At 38.9% G+C, this 20,253-nt stretch overlaps 1 annotated feature.

Moving 5' to 3' along the window:
- Positions 4,675-5,259: an enhancer, noted in NCBI's record as "OCT4-NANOG hESC enhancer chr1:79954251-79954835 (GRCh37/hg19 assembly coordinates)". NCBI's record gives its function as "activates a minimal SCP1, AML or CMV promoter by ChIP-STARR-seq in naive and primed H9 embryonic stem cells {active_cell/tissue: H9 hESC(naive and primed)}" and the evidence as "EXISTENCE:reporter gene assay evidence [ECO:0000049][PMID:30033119]".

Below are 20,253 nucleotides of genomic sequence, written 5' to 3'. Positions count from 1 at the left end.
TATCTCCCTTCCCTGACTCTCTTTTTGGACCCAGCACACCTGCACCCAGGGGAAATAAACAGCTTTATTGCTCACAGAAAGCCTGTTTGGTGGTCTCTTCACACAGACACGAGTGAAATTTGGTGCTGTGACTTGGATCGGGGGACCTCCCTTGGGACATCAATCCCCTGTCCTCCTGTTCTTTGCTCCGTGAGAAAGATCCACCTACAACCTCAGGTCCTCAGACTGACCAGCCCAAGAAACGTCTCACCAATTTCAAGTATGGTAAGTGGCCTCTTTTTACTCTCTCCTCCAACCTCACTTACTATCCCTCAACCTCTTTCTCCTTTCAATCTTGGCACCACACTTCAATCTCTCCCTTCTTTTAATTTCAATTCCTTTCATTTTCTGGTAGAGACAAAGGAGACGCGTTTTATCCGTGGACCCAAAACTCCAGTGCTGGTCACGGACTGGGAAGGCAGCCTTCCCTTGGTGTTTAATCATTTCAGGGACGCCTCTCTGATTATTCACCCATGTTTCAGAGGTGTCAGACCACGCAGGGACGCCTGTCTTGGTCCTTCACCCTTAGAGGCAAGTCCCGCTTTTCTAGGGGAGGGGAAAGTACCCCAACCTCATATCTCTGTGCCCTGATCCCTTATTTCCACACCCCAACCTCTTATATCTCTGTGCCCCGATCCCTTATTTCCGTGCCCCTACCTCTCCCGCTTTTCTGGAGGGTAAGAACCCCCAAACCCCTTCCCTCCGTTTCTCTACTCTCTCTTTTCTCTGGGCTTGCCTCCTTCACTGTGGGCAACCTTCCACCCTCCATTGCTCCTTCTCCCTTAGCCTGTGTTCTTAAGAACTTAAAACCTCTTCAGCTCTCACCTGACCTAAACTCTCAGCATCTTATTTTCTTCCGCAATGCCACCTGACCGCAATACAAACTCGACAGTAGTTCCAAATAGCCAGAAAACGGCACTTTCAATTTTTCCATCCTGCAAGATCTAAATAATTCTTGTTGTAAGATGGGTAAATGGTCTGAGGTGCCTGACGTCCAGGCATTCTTTTACACGTCGGTCCCTCTCTAGTCTCTGTTCCCAATGCAACTCATCCCAAATCTTCCTTCTTTCCCTCCCACCCGTCCCCTCAGTCCCAACCCCAAGGGTCGCTGAGTCTTTCTAATCTTCCATTTCTACAGACCCATCTGACCTCTCCCCTCCTCCCCAGGCTGCTCCTCGCCAGGCCGAGCTACGTCCCAATTCTTCCTCAGCCTCTGCTCCTCCACCCTATAATCCTTTTATCACCTCCCCTCCTCACACCTGGTCCGGCTTACAGTTTCGTTCCGTGACCAGCCCTCCCCCACCTGCCCAGCAATTTACTCTTAAAAAGGTGGCTGGAGCTAAAGGCATAGTCAAGGTTAATGCTCCTTTTTCTTTATCCCAAATCAGATAGCGTTTAGGCTCTTTTTCATCAAATATAAAAATCCAGCCCAGTTCATGACTTGTTTGGCAGCAACCCTGAGACACTTTACAGCCCTAGACCCTAAAAGGTCAAAAGGCCGTCTTATTCTCAAAATACATTTTATTACCCAATCTGCTCCCGACATTAAATAAAACTCCAAAAATTAAATTCCGGCCCTTAAACCCCTCAACAGGATTTAATTAACCTCACCTTCAAGGTGTACAATAATAGAAAAAAGTTGCAATTCCTTGCCTCCACTGTGAGACAAACCCCAGCCACATCTCCAGCACACAAGAACTTCCAAACGCCTGAACCACAGCGGCCAGGCCTTCCTCCAGAACATCCTCCCCCAGGAGCTTGCTACAAGTGCCAGAAATCTGGCCACCAGGCCAAGGAATGCCTGCAGCCCGGGATTCCTCCTAAGCCACGTCCCATCTGTGCGGGACCCCACTGGAAATCGGACTGTCCAACTCACCTGGCAGCCACTCCCAGAGCCCCTGGAACTCTGGCCCAAGGCTCTCTGACGGCTTCCCAGATCTTCTTGGCTTAGCGGCTGAAGACTGACTCTGCCCGATCACCTCGGAAGCCCCCTAGGCCATCACGGACGCCGAGCTTCGGGTAACTCTCACGGTGGAAGCTAAGCCCGTCCCCTTCTTAATCAATACGGAGCCTACCCACTCCACATTACCTTCTTTTCAAGGGCCTGTTTCCCTTGCCTCCATAACTGTTGTGGGTATTGACGGCCAGGCTTCTAAACCTCTTAAAACTCCCCAACTCTGGTTCCAACTTAGACAATACTCTTCTAAGCACTCCTTTTAGTTATCCCCACCTGCCCAGTTCCCTTATTAGGCCGAGACACTTTAACTAAATTATCTGCTTCCCTGACTATTCCTGTATTACAGCTACATCTCATTGCTGCCCTTCTTCCCAATCCAAAGCCTCCTTTGCGTCCTCCTCTTGTATTCTCCCACCTTAACCCACAAGAATAAGATACCTCTACTCCCTCCTTGGCGACCGATCATGCACCCCTTACTATCTCATTAAAACCTAATCACCCTTACCCCGCTCAATGCCAATATCCCATCCCACACCATGCTTTGAAAGGATTAAAGCCTGTTATCACTCACCTGCTACAGCATGGCCTTTTAAAGCCTATAAACTCTCCTTACAATTCCCCCATTATACCTGTCCTAAAACCAGACAAGCCTTCCAAGTTAGTTCAGGATCTATGCCTTATCAACCAAATTGTTTTGCCTATCCACCCCATGGTGCCAAACCCATATACTCTCCTATCCTCAATACCTCCCTCCACAATCCATTATTCTGTGCTGGATCTCAAACCTGCTTTCTTTACTATTCCTTTGCACCCATCATCCCAGCCTCTCTTCGCTTTCACCTGGACTGACCCTGACACCCATCAGGCTCAGGAAATTACCTGGGCTGTACTGCCGCAAAGTTTCACAGACAGCCCCCATTACTTCAGTCAAGCCCAAATTTATTCCTTATCTGTTACCTATCTCAGCATAATTCTCATAAAAACACACGTGCTCTCCCTGCTGATGTCCAATTAATCTCCCAAACCTCAATCCCTTACAAAACAACAACTCCTTTCCTTCCTAGGCATGGTTTGTGCGGTCAGAATTCTTACACAAGAGCCAGGACCGCACCCTGTAGCCTTTCTGTCCAAACAACTTGACCTTACTGTTTTAGCCTAGCCCTCATGTCTGCGTGCGTGGCTGCTGCCACCCTAATACTTTTAGAGGCCCTAAAAATCACAAACTATGCTCAACTTACTCTCTACATTTCTCATAACTTCCAAAATCTATTTTCTTCCTCATACCTGACGCATATACTTTCGGCTTCCTGGCTCCTTCAGCTATACTCACTCTTTGTTAACTCCCACAATTACCATTGTTCCTGGCCCGGACTTCAATCTGGCCTCCCACATTATTCCTGATACCACACCTGACCTCCATGACTGTATCTCTCTGATCCACCTGACATTCACCACATTTCCCCATATTTCCTTCTTTCCTGTTCCTCACCCTGATCACGCTTGATTTATTGATGGCAGTTCCACCAGGCCTAATCGCCACACACCAGCAAAGGCAGGCTATGCTATAGTACAAGCCACTAGCCCCCCTCTTAGAACCTCTCATTTTCTTTCCATCGTGGAAATCTGTCCTCAAGGAAATAACTTCTCAGTGTTCCATCTGCTATTCTACTACTCCTCAGGGATTATTCAGGCCCCCTCCCTTCCTTACACATCAAGCTCGAGGATTTGCCCCTACCCAGGACTGGCAAATTAGCTTTACTCAACATGCCCCGAGTCAGATAACTAAAATACCTCTTAGTCTAGGTAGACACTTTCACTGGATAGGTACAGGCCTTTCCTACAGGGTCTGAGAAGGCCACCGCAGTCATTTCTTCCCTTCTGTCAGACACAATTCCTCAGTTTAGCCTTCCCACCTCAATACAGTCTGATAACAGACGAGCCTTTATTAGTCAAATCAGCCAAGCAGTTTTTCAGGCTCTTAGTATTCAGTGAAACCTTTATATCCCTTATGGTCCTCCGTCTTCAGGAAAAGTAGAATGGACTAAAGGTCTTTTAAAAACACACCTCACCAAGCTCAGTCACCAACTTAAAAAGGACTGGACAATACTTTTACCACTTTCACTTCTCAGAACTCAGGCCTGTCCTCGGAATGCTACAGGGTACAGCCCATTTGAGCTCCTTTTTTTATTAGGCCCCAGTCTCATTCCAGACACCAGACCAACTTGGACTGTGCCCCAAAAAACTTGTCATCCCTACTATCTTCTGTCTAGTCATACTCCTATTCACCGTTCTCAACTACTCATACATGCCCTGCTCTTGTTTACACTGCCAGTTTACACTGTTTCTCCAAGCCAGCACAGCTGATATCTCCTGGTGCTATCCCCAAACCGCCACTCTTAACTCTTAAAGTAAATAAATAATCTTTACTGGCAAGGCTATGCTGAACCACCTTAGGCACTCTCTAATTAGATGTCGTAGGTCCTCCCAATTCTGAGTCCTTTAATACCTGTTTTTCTCCTTCTCTTATTCTGTTTAGTTTTTCAATTCATACAAAACTGTATCCAGGCCAACACCAATAATTCTAAATAACAAATGTTTCTTCTAACAGCCCCACAATATCACCCCTTGCCACAAAATTTTCCTTCAGCTTAATCTCTCCCACTCTAGGTTCCCACGCCGCCCCTAATCCCGCTCGAAGCAGCCCTGAGAAACATCACCCATTATCTCTCCATACCACCAAAAAATTTTCACTGTCCCAACACTTTACCACTATTTCATTTTATTGTTCTTATTAATATAAGAAGACAGGAATGTCAGGCCTCTGAGCCCAAGCTAAGCCATCACATACCCTGTGACCTGCAGGTACACATCCAGATGGCTGGTTCCTGCCTTAACTGCTGACATTCCACCACAAAAGAAGTGAAAATGTCCTGTTCCTGCCTTAACTGATGACATTGTCTTGTGAAATTCCTTCTCCTGGCTCATCCCGGCTCAAAAGCTCCCCCACTGAGTACCTTGTGACCCCCACTCTGCCGGCCAGAGAACACCCCCCTTTGACTGTAATTTTCCTTTATCTACCCAAATCCTATAAAACGGCCCCACCCCTATTTCCCTTCGCTGACTCTCTTTTTGGACTCAGCCCACCTGCACCCAGGTGAAATAAACAGCTTTATTGCTCACACAAAGCCTGTTTGATGGTCTCTTCACATGGATGAGAGTGAAATACTAAAACTGAAAGATACAGTCAATTTTCTACAGGTATTGCCCTTATGATGTCAACATCTGGGTTTTTCAAACCCACAGAAAGTTGTATGGTTGATATTATGTAGTATCCAGAACTAATTGATTTATAGAGTCTTACCTTTTAATTCATTTTTTTTAATGTGATGAAGAAATAATCATTGTTCATGAAGCTAACTGGGTAAAACACATGCAAGTTTAGATAGAAAAATTTTGTATAGAAAATGCTCTTGAGAAGAGAAGAAATACAAATTTGAAACAAAGGGGAAAATGAAGTTTAAATGAATTCCAAGCCAAAAGCCATATTCATTTTTTTTGGCAGCCAAAAGGTAGAAAATGTGGTTTGCATGTGGAGTCAGAGACTTATTGCTCAAATTACTTTACTGGTAAAACTGCTTAGAGTACATTTTGTTGATAAATATATATAGTTTGAAAGTTTCATTGTCTTTAAAATACTGCTACTAGGAGCTCCTATAATGTTAAAAATTCCCATTAAAATCAAGATTTTTCAAAAGCAGTTTAAGGATAAACAGGCCAAGCATGGTGGCTCACATCTGTCATCACAGCACTTTGGGAGGCCAAGACGGGAGGATCACTTGAAGCCAGGATTTCAAAACCAAGCCGGGTGTAGCAGGTTCCTGTAATCCCAGCTCTTGGGGAGGCTGAAATGGGAGGATTACTTGAGCCCAGGAATTTGAGGCTGCAGTGAGCTAGGATCAAGCCACTGCACCCCAGCCTGACCAACAGAAAGAGACTCTGTCTCTAAAAAATAAAATAAATAAATAAATTTAAAAATTTTAAAAAATGGATAAATAATTAGATGTATGAAATTTTAAAAAGCTTTATCCTTAAAAATAAGATATTATTTACATTAATTGAATAACATTTATTTAGTGAAACATAGCAGGGTGCACTTTTTACAGATATCTTTAAATGAATCTTCATATTTAAGGTAAATATGAAAAGAATATCAATGTACTTTGCAAATGTCATGGATTTTATTTTGTACGATAAAATAAACGAAAGCTCTGCAAAGTCTAAACCAAGAAAGGCCCCATTCTTTTAGGGAATAAAATAATCATTTGAGATATAAATATCTGACAAATAAGGTAGAGCAGCAAAGGGAATTAAGAAGAGGTTTGGGGAAGAAATGAACAGTTTCTAGTTGTGAAGGTAATTAACCTTTTTTCAGGATCATTAAAAAATGTTTTTCCTGCACACTACTAATTTTCTTTCAGGTTATAGAGGTCATTGTTTAGAAGATCAGGAGGGGAAAATATCGAGAGCTGATATTCATCTACCTATGCAAAAGGGACACACACAAAAAATTAACAATCAGTACTAAATTATTTCTTTCTGGCATGTATCTTCCTACCCTGAAATTCTACCTTAGGCCAGTGAAATACACCTATATAAACATCATCCGTTGAGGTATTAATTTTGGTGAAAATTATCAGTGCAAAATTTGAATATGTCCCACTATCTTCACACTACTTCATATAAGTAGTATTCTTTATTATTCAATTTTGCATGAAACAATTTGCTCCATTTGTACTGCAGATACATTTCTTTTTGATTCTGTGCCCCATAGAGCTGATTTCTAAAGCATAGCTACATTAAGGACACAAACTTTGTGCTTGAAGTACTGTCAAAAGACAGAAATGTTGAAAGGCTAAGATGATGAAATAAATGCCTATAATACTAATTCTGGCCCAATACATGGCCATGCTGACTTCCTTAATTTCTTTTTCTTTTTTTAAAATTTACAGATAGGGTCTCACTCTGTTGCCCAGGCTGGAGTGCAGTGGTATGATCATAGGTCATAACAGCCTTACACTCCTGGACTCAAGCAATCCTCCTGCCTCAGCCTCTTGAGTAGCTGAGACTGCAAGTGAGGGCCACCACATCTGGCTAATTTTTTTATTTTATTTTTTTGTCAAGATGGGATCTTATTATTCTGCCCAGGATGGTATCTAACTCCTGGCCTCAAGTAATCATCCTGCCTCAGCCTCCCGAAATGTTGGGGTTCCATGTATAAGCCACCTTAATTTCATACTTACTTTAGCTTTTCATGTGTGGAGGTTTATTTTCATAGCCAGAAAGTAAAATAAACTACCTCTGAATTATTTAAGAATGCTTTGATAGGTTCTATAATTACTGAGGTCCAAATACCACATCAAACAAAAGTATTTGATCACTGAAATGTAATGAAACTGTTTCTAGCAGGATTGTACCTGATTTTTATATTGTATTTATAATAGTTACCAATATTAATAATCAATTATAGGTTAATTACAATATATGGCATTGTTCAATCTACCTTCACAACATCCCCATGAAGGACATATTATCATACTAATATTGCAGCTAAAGAAATAGGTTCTGGTGTGTTAGAAAACTTAGCAAAGTTGAGACAGCTAATAAAAGACAGAGCCAGAATTCAATCCCAAGTCCATCTAACTCTAGAACTCATTTGTTGTCCCACAGGACACCATTATTTCATCTCAATAATAATGGAGACTCTAAAGGCCACTTGTAGGAGAAACTAGGTTTATTTGATCTTGGCTACATCATGAAGAAACACCAAATCTGGGATTATACAGGGTTGGACATTTTTGACCCTACCTTCCACTAATCTTAGTTCTCCAGAATGAGATGTGAATAAAGCTCATACTGCTTGCTGTCCCTATTGTGCTTGTTCTTCTTGCTGTAGCTGAATGTCCATTTCTAAATCATGGAGGGGAAAAAGTTGTTTGCTTACAGTTATGGCCATGATAAGCAAAGAATCTGAGAGTGGGGTCAGGGAGTCAAAAAAATGTGTAAAAACAGGTAAGGCAATGGTTTATGAATACCTCCTCTAGGGAAAGAATAGGATTCATTATTCTTTTGCAAAAAATGCATCAAAATTCTAAGATATCCCATTTTCTTAATTCTTCACGTAATACTAGTATTTCCTTCACTTTGATTTCCTAGTCAATTCACTATTTTTTTTTAGTATTTTCTGGCTTTCAAACAAATAGGTAAATGTTCTCTTCTTGTTTTTCTACTTCTTGTTTTGCTTTTTAATCGTCTAAGTGAAAAAAAAGGCAGTATACTTTATAAAATGTAATTTATTTACCTCAGAAAGAAAAAATAACTCATATATCAATAAAGAGGTTCAGAGTAAAATCAGCATAGTAGCATGTTACAAATTTCATTTTTAAGTTTCTGAAATGTACATTACCGGTTTATAAAAAACTGAATTTAATTCTCAAACATAAGTATAACATAATAAAATTGTTTTAAATGTAGATTATAATAAAACACTGTATGCTAATATTAAAATATATATTCAAGCATTTCATATGTTTAATAAGCCAATAATTTCAGTTCACTTCTACCAATCATGGCTATTTAGGATCCCCCTTAAATCTTTGTAGAGAACTTCTCATGTTGTTTCATAAATATTTGTTAACCTACCTTTTCCTCCTGAAACTCAGAGCTCTTATCAGTACACAAGGACTCTACAAGAAAGTCTTCCCACCTTGTGGAATTGCCTTGAATATTCAATGAGGTAGCATAAAAGACATTGGCAAGTTTAATACCAGGCACCTAAGAGGCACTTAGTAATTCCCTTCTGTGAAAAGATAATTTTCAAGATGGTAAAATCATGACTCTCATCAAATATAAAATGAATATCTATCAGAGATTTTATTTAGCTCATTAATTAGTGAGGAAACAAGAAAAATGTTAAAACTGATTCAAATGAAAATGTCTTACAGAGATTTTAATTCTCTACTGGACAAAATTCATTTGCATTTCTATGGACAAGAAAGATTTTCATTGTTATCAGTTTGCTACCACGCAGCTTCCGTCCCTATAGAGTTGTAAAATAGCCTAGTCAATAAAGACAATCAAAGGTGCACAAGCTTATAGTAACAGATAACCCCAGAGAGTTTGGTAGACAATGTTCAGTGTTCCACTGAAAGGACTCACAGGAAACTCATTTGCCATTTGCAAGTTGATTTTTTTTTTTGGCAATCGTTTACCCATTTCCAAGACAACTTTTTTTCTGACACTTCCTTTTTCATAATATTTATTTATTCTAGAACTAAGAATTTATTAGTATTTGCATCTTCAGTACTTAGTACATGCTTGCTTAGTACTCGAAAAAGCCTGGTTTAATTACGTTTTTTAAAGCCACTTCCATTTATACAGGATCTTACTATATGCAAAATACCTTCCTTATGCTTTCTGTCATTGATTCAATTATCTCACACAGATTACTGAAAAAACAATGGCAGTCACAATATTATTTTCAATTCAATTTAATAAATATTTAATGAGCACCTACCACATTCATACTCACTGTAAAAAGAAAGAAAGCTAACTATAGTGTCTGGATTTGTATCTTTTCACTTTTTCTTCTTGATGGTATGCTGGGCTTTGCTTTTATGTCATCCCTTTAACATCATTACCATGGAAACACTTCTGGGGCTATAATTCTGCTTTTTATAGGGAGTTCCTAGTCTGATTACCAAAAGACAATATTAGAATCATACTTACGTCCTCCTGGTCTGCACTGCCATCTTCACAATAGCCCTCTCAACAGGCTTACAAGGTGTTGTCGATTGCTCCAAGAAACAGCTCAAAGCAAAAGAAGACTGAGGGCAGAATCATGAGGTCATACACATTTAGAGGGACCCCACTGCTATTCTGATGTTTAGTCTAAGAGCCACTTTTCTAGCCTCCTCTGACTTTGTCTTTTCCTAACGAGTCAACAAACTTTGTGTCCTTTGAGAGTTTCACCCTTAAACCTGGCTTCAATGTAAAGAAAGTGGTGTTTCTCTAGAGTGTTCCCCTTTGCCTTTCTTCTTCCAAAGACGAACATTTTAGGAAAAAAAGAAACTAGTTCTGGAGGTCCAGGACAGATATGGGTGTTTTGAATAGATGAGGCCTCAAATTGGGTGCATTACTTGGAAGAAAATGTACCTCAGAGAAGCCAAATAATTTATTCATATTTGCAAGAGTGGTAGAGGGAGGATTCGAACTCAAGACTTAAGGTTTGCACAGAAGGCATAGCACTGACAGCTTAGATTTTGGAATTAAAAAAAGAAAGGCTTCTATTTGCATTAAGGCCAACCACTCTCTGTGACTTTGAGCTAGTTACCTAGCTTTCCTTAATGTCATGAATTTTTTCCAGAAATAGTAATAATATGTATCTAATAAGGTAGTTTTCAAAATTAAATTAGATACTGCCTGAAAGTCATGTAATCAATAATGCTTTAACTTTCAATATTATTATCTCTAGTTAATCAGGGTTGTCAAAGCTTTTACTGCTAATCAATACAAGGAACTCAGCAGGTAATTATAAAAATAATACACATCAAGGAGTTACACAGGTTAAGACAGTTTTTAAAGTTTATATGATTGTGACTAAAAACATATATGGATTTCTGCTTTCAAAATATTTTTAGGCAGAAAGTGGAATTCACCAATCATTTTCATCATAGCTCTCCAATTCTTTCTTGATTTCCACCCCTCCTTTAAGTCACACTTAACTCCATGTTGGAAAATGCCCCTTCCTGGCTCTGGACCATTCATATGATCACTTGACTCAACTATGTACTTTTCATTTTTAAGAAAGTGACCCACCATCTCAATTGTCACAGCCCTAAAATCAAAACAAAACAAAAAATCTTGTGTACACATTACTCACTTTAGAGTTAAAAAAATACTGTGTGTTTTTTAACACCTCTTCTTTGTATACACTCTTACAGAGGTGTGCATGCGCTTAATTGTGCTGAAAGTGGGGAAGAGCTCATCTGTGTCTTAGTTGGCTCAATCTTTGTGGTGCCCCACATCGAAGGTGGATTTCTATAGGACAAGTTTTTAAATCTCAGCATCTTTTTCCCATAGAACTCAGTTAGGCCAGAACTTTTAGATAGATTTGAACAGTAAACTACTGAACCCATTCATTTATTTCAGTTTATCAATGGTCCAAATTATGACAGATACTCCTTTTCCACTATGGATAAATCCTTTCTTCTTAGCAATACTTTTTTTTTCTTTCCAATTTTTATTTTAAGTTCAAGGAGCACATGTGCAGATTCGTCACATGGGTAAATTGCACATTGTGGGCTTTGGTATGGAGATATTTTGTCTTCCAGGTAATCAGCATAATATCTAATAGATAGTTTTTTAATACTCACTCTCCTCCCACCCTTCACCCTCATGTAGGCCCCAGTGTCTATTGGTCATTTTTTGAGTGTATGTGTACTTAATAGCTCCCGGGGAGAACATGTGTTATTTGTTTTTTTGTTCCTGTGTTAATTCACTGAGGATAATAGATAATGGCCCACAGCTCCATCCACATTACTGCAAAAGGTATGTTCTCATTTTTTTTTTGTTTGTTTTTGTTTTTTGAGACAGAGTCTCACTCTGTCATCAGACTGGAGTGCAGTGGCGCATTCTTGGCTTACTGCAACCTCCAAGCGATTCTCCTGCCTCAGCTTCCCAAGTAGCTGGGACTACAGGCATGCACCACCATGCCCAGCTAATTTTGTACTTTCAGTAGAGACAGGGTTTCACCATGTTGGCCAGGATGGTCTCAATCTCTTGACCTCATAATCCACCTGCCTCAGCCTCCCAAAGTGCTGGGATTACAGGCGTGAGCCATCACACCCAGCCTGGTCCCATTCTTTTTTATGGCTATGTAGTATTCCATGGTATACTCGTCCCATATTTTCTTTATCTAGTCCACCATTTATGAACATCTAGGTGGATTCCATGTCTTTGCCATTGTGACTCGTGCTGTAATGAACATACACATGGATGTGTCTTCATGGTAGAATGATTTATATTCCTTTGGACATATACCCAGTAATGGGATTGCTGGGTCAAATGGTAGTTCTGTTTTAAGTTCTTTGAGAAACATCCAGACTGAGTTCCACAGTGGGTAAATTGATTTACATTCCCACTAGCAGTGTATAAGGATTTCCTTTGCTCCACAACCTTGCCAGTGTCTGCTATTTTTTGACTTTTTAATAGTAGCCATTCCAGCTGGTGTGAGATGGTATCTCATTGTGGTTTTGATTTGCATTTCCCTAATGGTTAGTGATATTGATCATTTGTTCATATCCTTGTTGGTCACCCATATGTCTTCTTTTAAGAAGTATCTGTTCATGTCCTTTGCTCACTTACTAATGGGGTTGCTTTTTTCCTTGTAAATTTGATTAAGTTTCCTCTAGATTCTGGCTATTGGACCTTTGTAGGATACAGAGTTTGCAAGTATTTTATTCTATTCTGTAGGTTTTCCATTTACTCTATTGATAGTTTCTATTGCTGTCCACAAGCTCCTTACTTTAATTAGGTCCCATTTGTCAATTTTTGTTTTCATTGCACTTGTATTTGGCATCTTCATCATGAAGTCTTTGCCATGGCCAATATCCAGAATGGTATTTCCTAGTTTTTTTTTTAGGGATTTTATAGTTTTAAGTTTTACACTTAAATCTTTAACCCATTTTGAGTTGATTTTTGTATAAGGTAAAAGGTAGGTTTCTAGTTTCAATCTTCTGCTTATGGCTAGCCAGTTATCCCAGTACCATGTATAGGGATTCCTTTTCCCATTGCTTTTTATTGTTGGCCTTGTTGAAGATTTGATGGTGGTAGGTGTGCAGCTTTCCTTCTGAGTTCCCTAACCTGTTCCATTGATCTATGTGTCTGTTTTCACACCAGTACCATGCTGTTTTAGTTACTGTAGTCTTTTAGTATAGTTTGAAGTTGGGTAGTGTGATGCCTCCAGCTTTGCTCTTTTTGCTTGGGATTGCTTTAGCTATTCAGGCTCTTTTGATCCCAAATGATTTTTAGAATGTTTTTATCTAGTTCTGTGAAAAATATCACTGGTAGTTTGATAGGAATAGCACTGAATCTGTAAATTGCTTTGGGCAGTATGACCATTTTTAACAATATTGATTCTTCACATCCATGAGTATGGAATGTTTTTCCATTTGTTTGTGTCATCTCTATCTCAGCAATAATGTTTGTCTGAGATTTTCTAACCCTCATTCTTCCCCAATCATCGTTGATTAGTAATCTCTTATTCAGACCTTCAGTTCTACTTTTACAAACTCACGTAAGACGGGAAAAATTGACCCAACCTTGGCCAAAGACAGATACTTTGTTCATGTTATAATTTATCAAATATTTTTGGGAAAAAATTATCCAATAAATACACTTTAATGGAAATAAGACCCTTCTGAGAGCTCAGCTACTCACCTATTCAGTGGACTGTTAACCTTGAGAGGAACCTAACTATCTTGAACCAGTCTTGAAGGCATTGTTTAATAATTCTTAACTAGCTGTTTTTTCTCTTATGAAGTACAATAATTAGCTAACCATTCACTTTTCTTATAGTATGTCTCAAAGAAAAGGAAATCTAATCTTTCGAGTGACTAGCTACAAGTCTTCTTCCCTGCAGCAAGATTGTAATAAAATGTTGACACATGTACAACACCAAATTGTCTGAAAAAAACGCATTACGTTATTTTTTTTTAATTGCTTTTTGTTTTGTATTTCATCCCTTCTCCCATCCCACTGGCTTGTAAACTTTTTGATGGCAGGGATATAAAAATTATTTTTTTAACTTTAAGTTTTGGTACCTACCACACTATCTACCATATAGTAACTGCTAAACAGTTTTGCTGACTCAATGAAGATCTAACAAAAAGAACTAGAAACAGCTAGAGAAGTAGAGCATAAAGCAATATGAAGAAAACAAAAAATAAAATTGGTATCCCAATGTGTTTCTGACCAGCTGGAAGGCTATTCCAATACAACAGGCCAAGTGCATAATGAAATTTCAAGGAGTAAGTCATTCAAGTTCTGAGAAAGTACCTGCCCAAGAAGCATATAAAAAACATTTGCTGAGTTACAAACTTGAAAACATATTGAAGGTGGCTAAAAGATATTGAAAATAATATAAATAATATTTACTGTTTAGGCCAGAATAGAGAGACCATAATATACTCCAAGGCTTTTTCAGAAGTACAGAAGGGAAAACTACTACTGAGTTTTACTATGTAGCCAGCACACGTGTAGAAAACCTAACATATAGATGTTATGAATATGGCACCAGCCTTAACATTTGATTTTAATGTAATTTTAACATCATTGTCATCTGGAGAACCAGATTACCAGATTCCTTGTGCCATCCAGGTATTCAAAGGAATCCATAGCCAGATTAGTAGAGCAATGAAATGTACAACATAAGACTAGGATTGGAAATTTTTATGAAATACAGGAAGATGTCAGTCTGGTCAAGAGCCGTTTTACAGCAATCTCGTATAGGGTGGTCACAAACAGGGAAGGCAGAAGTGTTTTAAGATAGAACTGGAGCATGTCCTCATGTGGCCTGTCCTTGACAAGACCTGTGGCAGCAAAGGAGACACTAGTCACATAGCAACCAGAAGATATCAGTTTGTTTTTCTTTTTAAAATAAACTTCACCACACGGAGATATAACTGCTTCTGATAGGGACAGGAGACAGAGAAATTCTAGGCAGAAAAGGGTGGGTTCCTGACAAAACTCCACCCTGAAGCCTGAAACCACCGCCCAAAGTGAGAACTCACTTTGTGTTCTCAAGTGTTGCCTTTTCCAAAACCACCTGTGGCCCTGCCTGGAGCCATCCTGTGCCAATTAAAAAAAACCCAAACTCAGCTGGCAGAGAGAGGAGAAGCATCTGGACGTCAGCGACTACAGTTGGACATTGGAGAGAAGCGGCTTGACTTCAGAGGGACAGCTGGACAGTGTAACTTAGGAGAAGAATTTGGCCAGAGACGTTCAGATTTCAAGGGAAAATTACCTTCCCTCCCGTCTCCTCTTCAGTTCCCCTTCCCACTGAGAGCCACCTCCATCAGCAATAAAATCTACCACATTTACCATCTTTCAATTCGTTCGGGTGACTTCATTTCTCCCAAAAGCTGGACAAGAGCTCAGGTACCAGGAGTGCGGATGAAAAAGGCTGTCACACTGACTCTTTGCCCTCACAGGCAGAAGGCAGCCATCTCATGCGAAAAGGCAAAGGGTCCACTGAGCTATTGAACACTTAAGCCGTCCACGGACAGCAGAGCTAAAAGAACACTCGCTCTAGGGCTTCAGGGGTCGCGGGCACCTCCGCCACATGCTGCTGCAGGGCTGGCACGGAGTTGGCTCCTGCCGGGGCGCTTGCCCCAGCTCCTGCACTTGCTCACCTGTGCACCCCTCCCGTGAGGGGTGGAACACAGCGGTCCAAGTGAATGGAGTTCATTCCTGCAGGCACCAGAGCGGCCAGCTGACTTCAGCGCTCCTGTACTCCAGTTTCCGCTTTGTTCACACACTCCCTTCTGCGAGGAGTTGAGAGCTGCGGGCTCAGTAAATGGGGCACCCGCTTGGTGAGTCTTGCGAAGGTCAATTAGATAGAAACCAGAGAACTGGGACAATATTCAATTTTTTTTTTTTTTTTAATTTGAGATGAAGTCTCGCTCTATCACCCAGGTTGGAGTGCAGTAGCGGGATTCGGCTCACTGCAACCTCCACCTCCTGGGTTCAGGCGATTCTTGTGCCTCAGCCTCCCTAGTAGCTAGGAATACAGGCATGGGCCACCATGCCTGGCTGATTTTTGTATTTTTAGTAGAGACGGGGTTTCACCATGTTGGCCAGGTTGATCTCGAACTCCTGACCTCAGGTGATCTGCCCACCTCGGACTCCCAAACAATATTCAAATTTTATTTATGCTCACTGAGGAACAGCAAACATTTATTTGCTTTTTTAAAAACTTTTAGCACCAGACTGTAAAATAAAAAATAAAAACAACCAATGGGCTATCTAAAATAACAGTAGATAATTACATAAGGCTTACTTTATGCTTGGCACTATTCCATATGCTTTATAATTTATTTTTAAATTCACTTACTTCTCAAAACAAGCCCAAGAGGTAGCTTCTGTCAATATGCTATTTTATAGATGAGGTAGCTGAGAGATTGGGAGGTTAAATGATTTTCCTTATGTCATATAGTTGGTAGAGTAAGCATGCAGGCAGCCTAGGCTATAAAATATGTGCTCTCAACATATATTTGTCCCTCAATTTTACTTAATGATCTTCTTTCACAAAATCTTCATTTATTACCTCATGTAACTTTACAATATTCCTCTCAGTTTTATTTTTAAAAAAGATTTTCTTAGAAAACATAATCAACTGGTGAAGATCTGGGAATCTGTTCTGCGATGTAGACTAAGTGGGATAGCTACTGGAAATCTTTTTCCTCATCTGTTTAATAATAAATAGTAGTATTTCCTGCCTTGTTGGGTTTTTATTACAAAGTTAAAATGTAAATTGTCTAGTACTGTTCTTAATAAATGACATATCTATGCCCATGTCTAGATTTACATTTAGATATAGATTTAATAATATAGATATATAGATTGATAGATACAGATACTATCATTACTGATAATGTTATAATTATTAAATTAGAAACGAGAAAATTGAGAGTCATACATTACGTTATCTTTGTTAATTACGGATCTCTTTGACATCAAAATATGGAAGCCCCCAATTTTTTATAGATATATTTAACCTTAACATATCAGGAAGATCCAAAAGGCATGTGAATGAAAAAGAGCCTAATAGCTATAAAATATAGGTAGATGATTGATAGATACAGATAAACAAACCTATCTCCATTTTAAATTACATGTCTATTAAAACTTTGACGTCCCTTTCTTTACTCATCAATTTTTACATCCTAAAACTGCTTTACACACCTTGCCAAATTTTCCCTCTTATGCTTGCCTACCCACAGGTCCTGCCTCTTTGTACTTTTTCTCTACACTCTTTCTTTCATTATGTGGATCTCTTTGTCAGGTTCATCTCTCTAGCCGTTCACCAATAAAGCACACACTAGTGTTTTTTGTTCTATCGTATAATATTCTCTGTAATAAATCCGGTAGCTCCTAGAGAAGATCAAGTGCTTTTCCAGATAAATGCATTTGCATTGTCTTCTGTGAAAGTGTTTTGCATTTGCTTATTATTCAAAGTAATTGTCAGATTTTAGGACAATCTGAGACAATATCTATTGTACCTATTTGTTAAACTAGTTTTTCAACAAGTTAAAAATATTTATAACCAAGAAACATAACTGTTGTCTCTGGTAGGCTCTCGTGTTCTTGGTGTATCCTTCTCTCCTTTATGTTCAACTATTTACACAATTGAAATCAAATGACCTTTTGCTCTACCTCTATTAGGATGCATTAACTGAGATTATCTCAAAGCTATTTAATCTCATTGTGTGTAAAATTCATTCATATGTCTGAAATACATATTGTACTAGATCTTAAATATGTTGCAGTACATTAAAAATACATTTTTAAGTCAAAAAAAAAAAAAAAAACCTAGAGCAACAGCAAAACTAAGGTTTGTTGTTCCCAGGATAGAGTCTAATTCAGCTGCAGCAGCAAGATTGGATGAATATTTTCTAAAAACATGAACTCCCACAAAGTATAAAAAAGCTTCTGTAAGTGTGGGTGAGTTCTGTTCATTGACCAAAAAAATCCTTTACATATCAAGGAGTAGTAAGCTACAATCCCAAATCATGAATACAGAAATTTCTCAAGCCACTTGTGATAAACTCATTTCTAGTATCATACACACTAGTTGACACCAAATGAAACTTCTCTTTCATATCAGAGTTAAACTGTAAATAAACTTCTACTTGGTCTTTTGCATTACACACTAGGAAGTCCAGCTGAGTCCAAGAGATGTCTTGTAATCTCTGTGTTCGGCTATTGTTGCAAGCCACTGTGCTACAGGGCCTCATGCTGTCAGCAAAGAAAAAAAAAACTACATTTGAATTACATTATTCGATTCGATCGGGGGACTATATTTTGTCTGCCCAGAAACTGACACATATTGAAAAGGTACAATTTACATATATAGAAGCATGAGCAAAACTGTACATTTTTACTATGGCTGTCAGTGTAAGTCTGTGTATCTGGAAGTAATGTCTACTCAAGACAATAGGTCAAAATAGGTAGTTCCAGGCAGTGACTTCTGAATTTCCAGAAGTATTGAGTGCTAAGTTGTTATTTATTAATGCCCTCTTTATTTTTTTACTTTGAGTTTCCCATATTAAACAATTATTTATCTTCAACCTATACTATTTCAACCTATACTTTTACTATTATAAAGTTTCTGTTATATCTACTAAGGAGGAGACACCTGAAATGCTTATTAGGCTCCTGCTATAAAAACATATTTCTTGCTATTTCTTATTTCTCACTTCTAACACAATATACAATGGTTCATAATTCTAATTTCTAGAAAATATTGCTGAATTTTGGTGGAACTTATATACTTATAATATAATAGGCTCGTAATTAGTAGCAACGTTCTTTAAGAGCCTTGGAATTTTGGAATTTGAAATCAGAATATTTGAATTTATGTCCTGATTCCACCATTTGTGAGCTAAAGAATCTTGAAAAAGTCAGGTTCTCAGAGCCTAAGCTTTCTCAGCAGCTGTGGAGCAAATAAGACAGTATATGAGAAAGACTTTTAGAAATTATGTTATGATACAAGTGTTCGTATTTGTTATTATATCTTATGGGAAAATACTTGGAAAGTTTGATTTTTAGTTCTTACTTTACATATACAAGAAAAAAGCAGAAGGAATTGTCCGTTTGACCTTCATACCCTGAGTATTTCTGGTCAAATTAAGCACTTTCATCTTGTATGTTTTTACATACTTTTAAATGATAACATAAGGGCAAATGTGTGAAACCCTGAAGATTTTGCTATTCAAAGTGTCAGTCAGTTCATAGTCACACTAACAGCCCAATAACAGGGCTAAGGAAGTGTTTTATTCCTCATTTAAGTATTTGACTTTATTCCAACCTGACCCAATTCACTTGACACTATCTAAACTGCAGGTGGCTAGTTAGTTGTGTAATTACAGTTCCACGGTTTCAGTTTAATACTTTGGATTCAATTTAGTTGTACAAAGGAATGCAAGATTGCCACATAGATTAGTTCTTTAAAGACTTTTCATCCTTTTGTATTTTAATAAATTTTCCAAATGCTATTATTGCTTCTCTTAAAGACTTGATTCTTGAAAGCTTTTGCTCTTTACAAGCTTAATATCTGCTGAAAAAAGCTGCAGAAAAATGTTCAATAATGGAAATGCTAAGCCTTCATTCTCATAATCAACATAAGCTTTGAATCTTTATCAAACTTTTATCAACTGTTCATTACATTCTATCCTTTAAGCTCATGCTGACTTCACTATTAAACTCTTCATTACAAAGTTATATTGCTTTGTTTTGCTTTGGCAAACATTGTGTGCATGCGCCGGTGTGTGTGTGTGTGTGTGTCTGTGTGTCTTCACTTTTGGAGAGACTGTTATTTTTATTTTTTACTATTATACAGTTTTATTGGTGTCCAAAATAAATAAAAGTTTTCAGTTTAAGAATATTCACACATAACTAGCAAAGGATGAAGTCGATAGTTTATATTCCAGTTAGGTTATAATTTTCCTATAGTTAGATTTACCTCAAAAAGCACATAGCAGTGACTTTGTTTTCCAGGTGACTTTTAAGTATTTACCTTCATCTCTCTCCGCCCTAGTTTATATAAATGAAAGTCACCCCTTTGTGATTTATTATCTATCTATCTATCTATCTATCTATCTATCTATCTATCTATCTATTTATTTATTTATTTTTTCGAGACGGAATCTCGCTCTGTCACCCAGGCTGGAGTGCAGTGGTGTGGTCTCGGCTCACTGCAAGCTCCACCTCCTAGGTTCACGCCATTCTCCCACCTCAGTCTCCCGAGGAGGTGCCTGCCACCACGCCCGGCTCATTTTTTGTATTTTTATTAGAGACGGGGTTTCACCGTGTTAGCCAGGATGGTCTCCATCTCCTGACCTCGTGATCCTCCCGTCTCAGCCTCCCAAAGTGCTGGGATTACAGGCGTGAGCCACCGCACCTGGCCGTGATTTATTATC

Source organism: Homo sapiens, chromosome 1, assembly GCF_000001405.40.
Source record: "Homo sapiens chromosome 1, GRCh38.p14 Primary Assembly".
NCBI lineage: Eukaryota > Metazoa > Chordata > Mammalia > Primates > Hominidae > Homo > Homo sapiens.
Note: the sequence above shows the minus strand (reverse complement) of the source record. Positions and strands in the feature narration are given on the sequence as shown.